This window comes from Homo sapiens, chromosome 5, assembly GCF_000001405.40.
Source record: "Homo sapiens chromosome 5, GRCh38.p14 Primary Assembly".
Lineage (NCBI taxonomy): Eukaryota > Metazoa > Chordata > Mammalia > Primates > Hominidae > Homo > Homo sapiens.
This window is the reverse complement of record NC_000005.10, coordinates 178,962,945-178,978,082: the sequence shown is the minus strand read 5'-3', so window position 1 is coordinate 178,978,082 and position 15,138 is coordinate 178,962,945. Positions and strand designations below refer to the sequence as shown.

Genomic DNA, 15,138 nt, shown 5'->3' with positions numbered 1-15,138 from the left:
GGAATACTGATGCTTATTACAAGTAGCTTGGGGGGTTTCAAAAATGACATTCCACCCTGTGGAGAAAAGGCTGAAGAAATGTAAGGGATAGGAACCAAGAAGGAATAAGGCTCTGATAAGAAGAAACTGACCAGTTGGATAGAATTCTAAAAGGCACGCAAGGGTGTAGAGAAGTAAATTAGTAAAAGGACTGGATCTGGCTGAGTGCAGTGGCTCATGCCTGTAATCTTGGCACTTTGGGAGGCTGAGGTGAGTGGATCACTTGAGGCCAGGAGTTCAAGACCAGCCTGGCCAACATGGCGAAACACCATCTCGGCAAAACACCATCTCTACTAAAAACACAAAATTAGCTGGGCATGGTGGCACATGTCTGCAATCCCAGTTACTCGGGGGGCTGAGGCTGGAGAATCGCTTGAACCCGGGAGGCGGAGGTTTCTGTGAGTTGAGATCGTGCCATTGCACTCCAGCCTGGGCAACAAAGAAAAACTCTGTCTCCAAAAAAAAAAAAAAGAAGACTGAATTTGAAAATTTTAAGCCTCATCACTTCATTTGTGGATTACTGTTTTACTCTATTCAGGCTGCTATAAAAGAGTACCATAGACTCAGTGGCTTCTAAAAAACAGACATTTCTCATAGTTCTGGAGGCTGGAAAGTCCAAGAGCAAGACACCAGTGGATTTGGTGAGGGCTGCCTGCTTGTTCTTAAACAGCACTCCCTTGCTGTGTCCTCATATGGTGGGAAGTGTGAGGGCACCCTGGGGTCTCTTTTATAAGGGCTCTAATCCCATTCCCGAGGGCTCTACTTTCATAACCTCCCAAAGGCCCCAGCTCCAAATACCATACAATGGGGGTTAGGATCTCACCATATGCATTTTGGAGCAACATGAATATTCAACCTATAGCAATTATTCTGTCAGAATACTAACTAGTCTTTCTGCTTCTTGTATCTTTTCCCTCTTATTCATCCTACATAGTATTATAAAAATCACCGTTCCATGGCACCGTGGTGCTGTGTCCCATTGCTAGGGTCCCAGCCATCTCCTGTCACCTCCATCTGGCTGTGGTTTATTCTCAAATTTACCTGCAGACTCTCCTAACAGAAACAGCAGAGAGGGCACATTAGTCTAGGGGAACACGGCCCCAGGCACTGTGCACTGATACAATCTGCCAGATTGGGTCTGATCAGAGCTCTCAAATACTGAATATACCTGTAGTATCAACATCTGAGTTATTTTTCCCATTCTGGTCTGCAGACAGGTAAGACAGGTAAAACTTCCAGGGCACACAGACCTTGTCTTGCCCATGCCCTGTGTACTTCTTTAAGTCAGCTTTCACAGCTTGACCTTGCACTGTGTCATGGTTAAGTCTTCTTGAGGTCAACTCCAGCTCTGCTAGATGAGTGACCTTGGGCAAGATACTCATTCCTCCCACAGTCACTAAAAGCCAGAGTCTCCTTAATGCACCCTGCAGAGGTGCCCAAATTGCTGGCCCCATTAGCCTACCATTGATCCTCCCAGTCCTACCAATCACTGCCCACACAGACCCCACTCATTAACCCAGCCCCACAGCTGAGCAGTCCCAGGACCCCATCTCACTCCCAGCTAGCCCCTCCTCACTGCCCCCCACAGACTGCTTATTCATTTTGGTCCCACAGGTACCCTTGGGTGCTTACTCTGTGCTAAGCACCTGGGATACATCAGCAGACAAAATAGACAGGAACTGCTTCCCTCATAGGACTTGCACCCTAGTGGTGGAGACACACAATAAACAACATACAAAACTAACCAATAAATGACACTGTATGTTAAAGGGTGATGTGCTGTGGACAAAAGAAAACAGCAGAGCAGGGTACAGAGAATGGGGCAGCTGGCGGGGGATGGCTGCAATTTTGAATAGGGCAATCCAGTACAGGCTTCATCTGAAGGAGGTGGGGAGTGAGCCATGGGGATATCTGGGGGATGGGGTCCTGCAGGCGGAGTGGCAAGTGCAAGGCCCAAGGGCAGGGGTCGGCCTGGTGTTTTGGGGACCAAGCAAAGAGAGTGGCATGGAGGAGTAGGGTGAGCAGGGGAGAAAATGTGAGGAAGGCAGCAGAGTGGAGCAGTCAGGGCTCTCCAGAGAACAGAGCCCAAAGGATCAACAGATTAGATGTAGATATAGATTAGATAAAGATATAGAGAGAGAGTTTTGCTCCGAAGGCCTTCAACTGATTGGAAGAGGCCCACCCAGATGATTGGGGGTAAATCTCCTTTACCTAAAGTCAGCTGATTGTAGAGGTTACCCACATCTACAAAACACACCTTCACAGCAACATCTAGATCAGTGTTTGATTAAGTAACTGAGTACCATAGCCTGGCCAGGTGACACATCAAGCTAACCGTCACCTGAGGCACTGGGGTATGTATACCATGTGTGGCCCTGTAGGCCAAGGCCACTAAAATCAAGGACTTTAATTTACTCGGGGTGAGAAGAGGAGACACTGGAGGGTTTTAATAACAGTTAGATGGTCTGATGAACAAAAGGACCACTCTGGCTACTGTGTTGAGAATGTTTTAGCAACATCTTTTGTACACATGTCTTTTCAGAGTATATTACATGCAGAATAGTGTAGTGGACACCTTTATTCATTGAAACAACACATCTTAATCATGCACCAAGCTGCACTCTTGAAACATCTTCTGTGCACGTGTTTTCAAAAAGTGTTTCACATGCAGAGCAGTTGTAGTGGTCACATTCATTCACTGGAGTAATACTGCTCTCAAACGTGCACCACTGGCATACTTAGAAACATCTTTTTTTTGTTTTTGAGACAGAGTCTCACTCTATACCCCAGGCTGGAGTGCAGTGGCGTGATCTGAGCTCACTGCAGCCTCCACCTCCCGGGTTCAAGTGATTCTCCTGCCTCAGTCTCCTGAGTAGCCCGGCTAATTTTTGTATTTTTAGTAGAGACGGAGTTTTGCCATGTTGGCCAGGCTGGTCTTGAACTCCTGACTTCAGGTGATCGGCCTGCCATGGCCTCCCAAAGTGCTGGGATTACAGGTATGACGCACTGCCCCCGGCCAGAAACATCTTTTGATGTGTCGTTATATTTTGGGAAAAGAATAAAAAGGAAGAGAGAGAAGAGGTGAGCAGAAATTTGGCAGCCAGAGTGACCAATTCCTGAGATCCGTGGTGGTCCAGCTTATTGGGTAAGGGTTTGGGTTCTATCACAAAGCTTCACATTTAAAACCCTTCTCTTAACTCTCATGTTGTGATCTTGGACAAGCTACTTAAGTCAAAGACTCCTTGTCTGTCAAGTAAGTATGATACTCATATCTAGCTGATAGGTAATCATCCATCCCTACAAACCTGAAGGTTTTTATAGAAATTTCATGGCATAATGTAGGAACAATGCACAGTGCCTGGCTCATAACGAGTGCTCAATGAACCTCTCTCTCATGCAGTAATGGTAAGTACAGAAACCATTAGAGGCCGGGCGCGGTGGCTCACGCCTCTAATCCCGGTACTTTCAGAGGCCAAGCTAGGTGGATCACGAGGTCAGGAGATCGAGACCATCCTGGCTAACACGGTGAAACCCCGTCTCTACTAAATATACAAAAAATTAGCCGGGCATGGTGGCGGGCGCCTGTAGTCTCAGCTACTCAGCAGGCTGAGGCAGGAGAATCGCTTGAACCCCAGAGGCGGAGACTGCAGTGAGCCAAGATCGCGCCAGTGCACTCCAGCCTGGCGACACAGCGAGACTCCATCTCCAACAACAACAACAACAACAACAACCACAACCACAACAACCACAACAACCACTAGAAAGGCTAACACAAGTTCATGACTAAAGAAAACCTAAAAGACAAGAAGGACCAACCATGACCTGCTTCTCAAGGAATAACCATTGATGCATCCTTTACCTATCTTATCGCCAACTCGGATGAATTCTTGTACCAGCTGCATAACTATACTCCCAAGATCCAGTTTCTCTCTAACTTCAGGCATCCACGTTTTCCTGCCATAGACTCTTGTAACAAACCTCTTTCCTAATAAATCTGTTTAGTCATGACATCATCTTCACCGCACCATCCCAGCCCAACCCCACTGTCTACTTCATAAGTTTAAACTATGACCCTGGTGACAAAAGCCTCCAGGTTTCATTCTCTGCCTATGTACACACTGATATATAAAGAATGGCAGAAGTAATATAAATGGATAGAATTTTTTAAATTCTTCAGTCGACCTTTTTTTTTTTTTTTTTTGAGATGAAGTCTTGCTCTGTCGCCCAGGCTGGAGTGCAGTGGCGCGATCTCGGCTCACTGCAAGCTCCGCCTCCTGGGTTCAGGCCATTCTCCTGCCTCAGCCTCCCGAGTAGCTGGGACTACAGGCGCCCGCCACCACACCGGCTAATTTTTTGTATTTTTTAGTAGAGACGGGGTTTCACCGTGTTAGCCAGGATGGTCTCAATCTCCTGACCTTGTGATCCGCCCGCTTCGGCCTCCCAAAGTGCTGGGATTACAGGCGTGAGCCACTGCGCCCGGCCCAGTCAACCTCTATTTTTTTTAATCAGTAAAGACACTAAAAACTGGAGGATAAAAGATTTGCCACTAGGTGTATTACTGAGGTGAATTAGCAATTGAACTTCAGGTGGTTAAATACTTTTTCCAACTTTGGAATTTCTTCTTCACTGCAAGGAAAATTAATTGAGAAAGAAAGAAAAATAATTGGAAACTTTTCCATTTTTTAATGCTCTGGTAAAATGTACATTATTATAGCAATTATCTGCAGCTTGGAAATTTGAAATACAAAGCCCAAAACCAGACAATAGCTTCTTCCATTTCAAGTCCTGCCAAGGTCCCCTGCATGAACTAATGGGCCTGTGTGGTCTTGCTGCTTCAGCTGACAGAAGAAAGGAAAGGAATGGGAGGGGAGAGGAGGGAAGGGGAGGTGTGGGGGAGAGAGAGAGAGAGGGACAGAGACAGAGAGAGACAGCAAAAGGAAGGAAGGAAGGAAGGAGGGAGGGAGGTAGGGAGGGAAAGGAGAGGAACTGCAGCCGGATCTGCTGTCAGCCACCACGATCAGAAAGGCCTCTGGGTTTTTTTTTTTTTTTACCTATTTACTATTAGGAAAGAGGTTTGTTACAAGAGTCTATGGCAGGAAAACGTGGATGCCTGAAGTTAGAGAGAAACTGGATCTTGGGAGTATAGTTATGCAGCTGGTACAAGAATTCATCCGAGTTGGCGATAAGATAGGTAAAAACTGCTGCCTTTCCAGTGAAACAGGTCCTCGGGGTCAGCACTCCGCCTGCCCTTCCCCCACATCTTCCCCCTGCTCCTGGTTCTCTCACCCCCACGTGGCTCAGCCTCAGGCCTGGCCCAGAAAGTGTGGATCTGAGAAGGGGGTGAGCCACCAAAGGCCGCAGCCTCAGCCTCAGCTGCGTCGGGCCTGGGGTCATCTGTGGTTTGCCTGCGTGGGACCTTACCACACCCTCTCTTCTTTGGAGAAAGACCCTGGGTTTTTCTTGTGGACCCCTCACTTCTACTCTTGGATCATGTGGTATGGGTGAACCTCACCTCCTTAGGCTCCAGGTGAGCACGTGGCCCCAGCCCTCCCCACCCACCAATGCCAGGCAGCACCGACTTGTCCATTAGGTGCAGTAGGGACAGTGCCTGGGGCCCAGAATGCTTCTAGGGGCTCATGGAAATGTTTTAAGTTCTCCCCAAATTGGAAAGAAAAATGACCTTTTAGGGTCAAAGATTTTGTCTTTATACCAACACAGTTGTAAAATAGATTGTAAAATGTTGTATAGTCATAAAATAGTTGTGAAATATATTGTGTATATATTTAAAATTTTTCTGTATATTATATTTTAGCCAGGTGCGGTGGCTCACACCTGTAATCCCAGCACTTTGGGAGGCCAAGGTGGGCAGATCACTCAACATCAGGAGTTCGAGACCAGCCTGGACAATATGGTGAAACCCCATCTCTACAAAAATACAAAAAATTAGCCAGGTGTGGTGGTGCATGCCTGTAATCCCAACTACTAGGGAGGCTGAAGCAGGAGAATCACTTGAACCCAGGAGGCTGAGTTTACAGGGAGCCGAGATTGCACCATTGTGCTCCAGACTGGGTGACAGAGTGAGACTCCATCTCAAAAAACAAACAAACAAACAAACAAAAAACAAACCTTTTGGCTGGGGACAGACAGAGCCGCCCTTCCTGGGGCTGGCCAGTTCTTCTTCTTTTTTTTTTTTCAGATGGAGTCTCGCTGCCCAGCCTGGAGTGCAGTGGCGCCACCTCAGCTCACTGCAAGCTCCACCTCCCGGGTTCACACCATTCTCCTGCCTCAGCCTCCCAAGTAGCTGGGACTACATGCGCCCGCCACCACACCCGGCTAATTTTTTGTATTTTTTTTTTTTTAGTAGAGATGGGGTTTCACTGTGTTAGTCAGGATGGTCTCAATCTCCTGACCTCGTGATCTGCCCGTCTCTGCCTCCCAAAGTGCTGGGATTACAGGCATGGCCACCGCGCCCAGCCGGGGCTGGCCAGTTCTTAAGAGACAGCAAACACTGAGCTGGGCACGTCTTCGATATGTAGTAACCAGCCAGAGCCAGGCCTCCTCTCTCAGGCCCACACACCCCAGAAGCAACATTCCTCTGCCTTCATCACCCCAGGGCCGAGCACCAGGCACCTAGGGACACCCCCATCCTTATAGCTTAGAGCTTACTGAAATGACACAAACTAGCCAGTCTAAACAATTCACCCACCCTGCCTTGCCTTTCCCTCAGACACCCAAAGAAGGCCCTGGCTTCATGCTTCCCCCTACTCCCCGCCGACTCCTGTCTTCTGCCTCCTGAACACTCAGGTGCCTCGCCCACATGGCCCTGTGTGGCCTGCCCTGCCTCCTGTCTCTAGGAATATTGAGTACATTTGTTATCCCGAGCCTCTCCTCTGCCTCTTTTGGCTCAATCTCACTGACTACCTCATAACAATACAAAACAGGATGGACGTAACGGTTTCATGCAATTGTGAGGATTAAATGAATGAATATACGCAAAGTTCTTACAACAGCATCTGGTGCCAGGCGTGGCCTCACATGTGAACTGCTGGCCCCGGTGATGGGAAACAGCTCTTTACATTCCACAGCATGAACACGCTGCTTTCCAGGACCACGTGGGGCTTCGATGGTCATTGTGGGGGGCTCGGGCCAGGCTGGCTACAGAGAGAAACACTTGGAATGCTTTTGGCCATGCATTAGTGTCATCTAGATAACCAGGTGACAAAAATGCAACTTGTACATCTTAGAAACTGGGCACTTTTCTCATTTTATTTTCAGAAAGACACACTGATGAATAATTATTGTTAACAATTTTTTAAGGATAGTGACGCGGCTGAGGCAAGTGGATCACGAGGTCAGGAGTTCAAGACCAGCCTGACCAACATGGTGAAACCCCGTCTCTACTAAAAATACAAAAATTAGCCGGGCGTGGTGGTGGGAACCTGTAATCCCAGCTACTTGGGAGGCTGAGGCAGGAGAATCGCTTGAAAGAAAGAAAAAAAAGACAGTGACATGTGGTACACAGGGTGGCAGACGGAACACAGGGAGTGTGAGTACCACCCAGTGCTGGCACCTGCAAAGGACCATCAGCACCGCCGAGAGGTCCTTGAGTGATCAGAAACAACCAAGCCTTGCGTTCTTTTCCCTTCACAAACTGTTACAAAAATATTTAAATTGCCAAAGATATATTTAGCAAGAGTTGAGGTGGGCCAAGAAGCAGGGAGCCCTCCCACTGCGACACAGATGGGGGTGAGAGATTGACGTCTCCATGTTGTACTGCCGACTAAGCCAGTGCTACAGGGGAGGGTGGGGCAAAGAGCGAAGGAAAGGAGAGGAATCAGATAAGGGGAGGCTATGGCGTTCTTGGATTAATTTTGAATTAAATTGTTTTCTCCATCAAAAGCACTCAGTTTAAAGCAATTTTGTTCCAAGACTCTGAGGCTCGGCCACAGTAACCTGGAAGCCTGAGTCTGCTGCAGGGACAAATGCTGTTCTAGAAGCAGTTAGTGAATATGGAGGAAGGTAACGTCTTAGAGAGGGCGCTGTCAAAGCCAGGCAAACAGGCAGGCAGGGAGAAAGAACCCAGATGACAAATCAGTCAGCTGGAGATGAGGGGCACCCGGCAGGAGACGGGCAGAGGAATCTGAAAGGGGAAATCCAAAGCAACTGTTTTTTTTCGGTAACAAGGAGGCAGTTTCAGTGGCTGTTCCCAGAAGCCCATAGAAATGAAGAACCTATCAGTCTAGATGCCAATTCCCTTCTCAAACTGGGCAGAGTGGAGCTGGCACTGTGATGGGTCTCGGAACGCTCCGAGGTGGGAGGAGAGGCCAGGAGCTGCTTCTCAGGCTCTTACCTTTTTCTATGGCCCAGGTGAGGGGCGGGGAGACTGGCCTCATGTGAAGGTCATGGTCGTGGTGTACCAGAGCAGTCTTGTGTACTACATGAAGCAGGCGCAGGCTGGACGTGTGAAGACAGAGCTGCTGAAGGTGGCACATCACCAGGTGGCCAAGTCTGTCCCTGAAGAGTCCCAAATCGTGGTCCTTCATCTTGTCACAGCTGGGTATGTCGACATGGCCATTAGGACTACAAGAGCAAGGTATGGAATGAACTGCTCTTTCTAGGAAACACTGGTTCTTTGGGGATTAACCCAGCTGAAGGTGGGGCACAGAAAACTCCCTCTCAGTAAGTACTGAAATGTCTAACACCACACAGATCAGCTGGTAGAGAAGACTGTGGCTGAAAAAGTCTTACTGCAGGGTCCTCAGAAATGTACTTTTAGGGGTTGAGCTGGGGCAGGTGAGAATGCCCAGGTAGAGAGCAGTATCATCCACGTGAGAAAAGTATGCCTGGGACTCAGGCAGTGTCCCCTCCCCTAGTCGAGAAGGCCGTGCAGTGAGCTCGTCATCCTACAGTGTAATACAGTAAAGCCACTGCCTGGCCAAGTACTAGTACCATCAATATATTCAAGTCAGCCTGGGCGTATCTAATAGGCCAGTGACGTACTTTTTGCCTTTCCAGACAGGGATGAGTGAACAGGCATCTCGGAGGACTGATTTCATGAAAACCCAAGCCTGATGAGAGGCGAACTCAGGGAGAGTGCACTGTCTTCTCAGATGGGGGCCTTCAGCCTGCACTTAATGCCGCTGACGCTAGTTCCTGGAGCCGCGGCTGAGGTGAATGAGACTCAAGTGGCTGCACGCCTTGGTCCTGGCTCAACGGTAGGCACATACCAAGTAGTGGTAGTTCTCATGCGTTCATTACAGATAGACAAAACCACCAACCAACTCAGCTTAGAAACGTGCTTCTCAGGGATTCAAGGTAAGGGGGTGGTAGTTAAGACCTGGCACATTACATGGATGGGGTGAAGACAGACATCTGTAGCAGTGAACGTGGTTTTTTCAGGTTTACTCTGGAATCTGAGGGTGTCAGCTGCGTGAAGCTGCAGATGAACTTCTGAGGACATGGGACACAAGCAATCCCAAGAAACCTCTTGAAATACTGCTTCACATGCAGCTTAATAGGGAAGAAAGTCTGAGTTGCTGATCAGCTAACAGGAGATGCTGGCCCACAAAGGTGGCCTTTATTAGATGAAGGCTGAATTTAGATTACTTGGACTTTGAAGCTGCTGGAAGCTTCCAAGTCTATGTTGCAACCCAGAGCCCACTGAGTTCTACCATGATATAGAATATCCTCTTCTGTAACATGGGGGTGAGGTGCTCCATTCTGAGGGGTCAGGGGGTTGCTCAACTTGACGGACAGCACTTCCACATACCAGGAACTTGCCACTTCACTTTCCAGAAAAATTTGCTTGGCCTCCCATCTTCACTGCATGATATATTCCAGCTTGCAGTAGTGAAGGCTCCTCCATTCCTTGTGGTAGGAAAAGGGAGAGGGCCCTCAGAGGCTGTGTGTGTGTGTGTGTGTGTGTGTGTGTGTGTGTGATGCACAGATGTTACTTATCTGTGTGATTTCTACTGAAAGCACTGAAGGATTAAAGACGGGGAAGGTGGCCGGGTGCGGTGGCTCATGCCTGTAATCCCAGCACCTGGGGAGGCCGAGGTGGGCGGATCACAAGGTCAGGAGTTTGAGACCAGCCTGGCCAACATAGTGAAACCCCAACTCTACTAAAAATACAAAAAATTAGCTGGGCATGGTAGTGGGTGCCTGTAGACCTAGCTACTCGGGAGGCTGAGGCAGGAGAATCACTTGAACCCAGGAGGTGGAAGTTACAGTGAGCCGAGATCACACCACTGCACTCCAGCCTGGGCGACAGTGCAAGACTCTGTCTCAAAAAAAAAAAAAAAGAAAAAGAAAAAGAAAAAAAAAAAACAGGGTAAAGGAACCATACTTGCAGGACGACTGTACCACTCAAACTTTTGAACACGGACATGGCCCTTGCCAGAGAATATCAATGGTGCTAGTGACCACTTCTTGACTCATGGAATTACTCAACATTTTTCTCACCACTGTCAGCATGAGTCTTTAAATAGTGGAAGGCCCAGATGGAGGAGAGGAAATGACCACTTCCAAATGCAAAAGCAGAAATTCAAAGCTGTCTGCTTTCCTATGAATATAGAATTACTACCTCCAGAAACCTAGAAAAAGCAGGGGAAGGACCAGGATGCAGCAGTTTATCCTGGGAGTAGTAAATGTACTCTAATGCAGTGGACACAGTGGACTGTACAGCCAGGGGAAGAGAGTGGGTCAGAGCATTCTGAGAACTGGCCTTGGGGCTTTCACCTCTTATATCAATTGCACATAGAGAAATGGGCAGCGACAGATGGAGGTGACTGGGAATAGTACAACGTAAGTGGGTGGGATCATTGCACCTGAAGCTGAGCAAGTCCCTGACTGATGTGTAGAGTCACTAAGTACAGAACAATTGGAGGGTAAAGGCGGCACAGGCAAAGCCCCTCCTTCAGGTGCCATCCCAGGATCAGTCAAGCTGAAGCCCAGAGGAAATGCATAACTCAAGAATTTTGATCAAGTTGTGCCTTCTGGACAGAGATACCAAGTTCTGAAGGCTGGATTTGGGTGTGATATTCAACATCATGGACTGTGTCTGAGACCAGACCACCACACTCCCCATAGGGGCAGTGATAGGTGGCACCATGCAGACAGTTAGGCGTTGCTAAGTCAGAAGAGGGTCATTTGGGGCAAATGAATCGTCTCACAGGGATTCTACAGGGATGAAGCCAGCAGACAGACCAGAGAGATCTGACAATGGATGGTTTGAAGCAAAAGGCAGGAAGCATGGTTTAAATAAGTGTGGGTGACGTACTTTCTCTACACTGGGTGTCGGTGGTGTGGGTGAGGAGAGGACTAAGGCTTCCATTAAAGCTGGCAACTCTCTTATGTAAGAGAATCTAGTAGAGTGCAACGCTCGTAGGCCATTTTACCTTTTTGTTCCTTTGCTTTTCAGCTTTAATTTTTACAATTTCAGTTTCTCTAATAGTCAAAATGTAATTTGATAAACCAATTTTTTAATGCTGTTAATGAAGCTCCATTTTGGTTCTGATGCTTGGTAATTCAGACAAATCAAACAGTACTGCTATTTGAGGCAGTATTAAAGAATGAGGAGTGTTTGCCATTCTTTTTTTTTTTTTTTTTTTTGAGACTGAGTCTTGCTCTGTCGCCCAGGCTGGAGTGCAGTGGCACGATCTCGGCTCACTGCAACCTCTGCCTCCCGGGTTCATGCCATTCTCCTGCCTCAGCCTCCCGAGTAGCTGGGACTACAGGCGCCCACCACCATGCCCGGGTAATTTTTTATATTTTTAGTAGCGATGGGGTTTCACCCTGTTAGCCAGGATGGTCTCGATCTCCTGACCTCGTGATCCGCCCACCTCGGCCTCCCAAAGTGCTCCCAAAGATTACAGACGTGAGCCACTGTGCCCAGCCGAGTGTTTGCCATTCTTAAATGCCCAAACCCCATGACACTGTGAAACCTGACCCTCAGTAAATAAAGTGACTATCTTGATGCAAGCTTTCATAGTTATTCTCTAGAACGGATTATCTCACATTCAATAATTCATCTACTCAGTCTCAAAGGTCTTCCATACAAACTGCATTCATATCACTTCTCTCCAATATGATGTCTCTGATGCTGAATGAGGTTTGCAGTCTGGTTAAAAGCTTTCCCACATTTATTACATTTATAGGGTTTCTCTCCTGTGTGAATCCTCTGATGTTGAGTCAGGTGAGTGCTTCGGATAAAGGCTTTCTCACAGATTTTACATTTGTAAGGTTTTTCCCTAGTATGAATTCTCTTATGTTGGGTAAGGGCTGAATGGTCACTGAAGGCTTTTTCACATATGTTACATGTATAAGGTTTTTCCCCAGTATGAATTCTCTGATGTTGGGCTAGTGCTGATTGGTCCCGAAAGGCTTTCTCACACAAGCCACATCTGTAAGGTTTCTCTCCAGTGTGAATTTTCCGATGTCGTGCAAAGGATGAATTATCCCTGAAAGCTTTCCCACATTCATTACATTTATAAGGTTTCTCTCCAGTATGAATTCTCTGATGTTCAGTAAGGGAAGAGTTCACCCTGAAGGCCTTCCCACATTCATTACATTCAAAGGGTTTCTCTCCAGTGTGAATTCTCTGATGCTGAAGGAAACTTGTACTCTGATTAAAGGCTTTTCCACATTCATTGCATTTATAGGGTTTCTCTCCACTGTGGATATTCTGGTGTTTGGTAAGGTGTGCCCTGCACACAAAGGCTTTTTCACAAATGTTACATTTAAAAGGTTTCTCTCCAGTATGTATTCTATGATGATGGGCAAGGTGTATATTTCGGATAAAAGCTTTTCCACATAAGTTGCATTCAAAAGGCTTCTCTCCAGTATGAATTTTCTGATGGTACGTAAGTGAGGAGCTCACTGAGAAGGCCTTGCCACATTCCTTACATTCATAGGGTTTCTCGCCAGTGTGAATTCTTTGGTGATGGATAAGGTGCGTACTCTGGTGAAAGGCTTTCCCACATTCTCTACATTCATATCTTTTCTCCTTAATATGAATTTTCTGATTTGCATTTTTTTCATTATGAATTTTCTGATGTTTATTAAGAGTTGAACTCTTAGAGAAGACTTTTCCACACTCACTACACTCAAAGGCATTTTTGCTAGGTTGAAATCCCTGACTTTGATCACTGTGAAGAGATGAGCTCATAGTGCTCCCGGATTCATCACATTCCTGTGATGGGGTGTTGGGGTGAGTGAGTACCACTCGCTGCAAACTGATCTCCTGGCCTCCACATTGCCACTCCAGCAGGCTAGCACACTTCCAGTGACTACTGCTACTGAATCTTTCCTTTATTGTCCATTGATCCAATTCTTCTTCAGGAATCTCTGCCTTGACAGTAGATTTCTTACTGGCAGGCATAGTCATCCAGTCTGAAAGACATTAAAAATAAAAATGTCTGTTTTACCCTAGCAAAACATTTGGATGGGGCAAGATGACGAGCCTCTTCATAATGCTAACAGAAAGATTTCAAGTTTGAAGATTTTCTGAAGTAACAACAAGAAAGGACAGAAAAGAGGGGTGAACAGAGGACTACAGCAGGGGTTGATCTCATGTATAATGTATGAGGCAGGAGAGCTTGGAAGCATGATCTTAGAAGTCACAGGTGGCTGGGCGTTGTGGCTCACACCTGTAATCCCAGCACTTTGGGAGGCCAAGGCGGGTGGATCACGAGGTCAGGAGATCGAGACCATCCTGGCTAACACGGTGAAACCCCGTCTCTACTAAAAATGCAAAAAATTAGCCGGGCGTGGTGGTGGGAGCCTGTAGTCCCAGCTACTCAGGAGGCTGAGGCAGGAGAATGGTGTGAACCCGGGAGGCGGAGCTTGCAGTGAGCCGAGATCGCGCCACTGCATTCCAGCCTGGGTGACAGAGTGAGACTCCGTCTCAAAAAAAAAAAAAGTCACAGGCCTGGGTTAGAATTGAGTACAACACATATTTTCTTTGTGATAATAGAGAAGTTATCTGATTTTCTAAGCCTCAAAAAAAAGAAAAACCTGATAAAGACCACATGATGCTAACAGACAAGAAGAAAAGTACCCTGTCGATTCAAATGAGATGATTTTTAAAGCCAGCCAGATGTGGCCTAAAGAAACTGCTGAAAATAGTAGTCGACACTTGGTAGGAAAAACCTTGACTCTAGAGTGAATACTAAAATCAAGATATAGGCTCATTTGAGCATTCAGATGAATAATAAAAAGCTAGGCCGCTGTACAGGCTGTGTGAAATGCTCATATCTACTAAAAAAATAAGGACCTCCTATTGCTTGTGAGGAAGCAATGTCTCCAAACCCATATGAATAATGTGACACCCATGGGAGGGAAATGTGCCATGAGATATTTTGTGGCAAAGTTATCTCAGGATAAACGCTGCAGCTGCAAGCACTGCCGGCAAGTATTCTCAGGGCAAACAGGAGAGGGCCTAAAATGTAAAACTAAGGGCTAGATTCCAAACACAGACGATGCAGAATTCACGAGAAATCCCATCAAGAACAAGCCATCCTTATTACCTCCTTTTCCCACTCGCTGCAGAAAATCTTCTACAAAAAGGCACTCCTGGTATCATTTTAGAATCAAAGAAACAAACCTCTTTACTTACTAGGAAAAGAAAGGTAAACAGGCGCATTTCAAGACTAAAATCCTGTTGAGCTCAGAATAATATATCCTTGTTCAAAACAAAGAATGGTCAAAGTTAAACATCGGTATTGCCAAATGTCAAAATGTTAAGGACTGACTTCCACTTCTGGCCCAAATAGAGTAGACTGTGGCAGACTAACATTTCTGCAGAAAACAACTAGAAAATCTGAATTGGAAAAAGTTATCTGTCTGAAGGCATCAGATGTCACCCAGGCAGACTTTATAGTCTAATATTTGGGAGAGAATGAAAATATAGAGAGGTGATCCCAATACTCAGTGGCTTGTTACTCAAACATTTTATTGAATTCTTAAGCTTTACAGGGCAAAAGATTAAAGTTAAGCAGAAATCCAGAATTTTCTAGTCTTTTAGTACAACAGAACCAGGACCTTCCAAGGAGAGGTCATAATAACATGTGAAGCTCTCAGCCGGGACTCCTGCAGGGCTAC

General features: G+C 46.7%; 1 protein-coding gene across 5 annotated transcripts in view; it reads right to left on the bottom strand.

Moving 5' to 3' along the window:
- Nucleotides 1-15,138, bottom strand: part of ZNF454 (zinc finger protein 454) — a 48,831-nt gene that overhangs the window by 11,946 nt on the left and 21,747 nt on the right. For 4 of the 5 annotated variants that reach the window (NM_001178089.3, NM_001323306.2, NM_182594.4 and 1 more), the window contains exon 5: nt 11,650-13,428. In NM_001178089.3, coding sequence (NP_001171560.1) covers nt 12,110-13,428 — 1,319 coding nt within the window. In that variant the 3' untranslated portion in view covers nt 11,650-12,109. Of the gene's footprint in view, nt 1-8,389; nt 13,429-15,138 lie in introns of those variants that run through there. The other variant, XR_007058600.1, reaches the window with a different exon arrangement.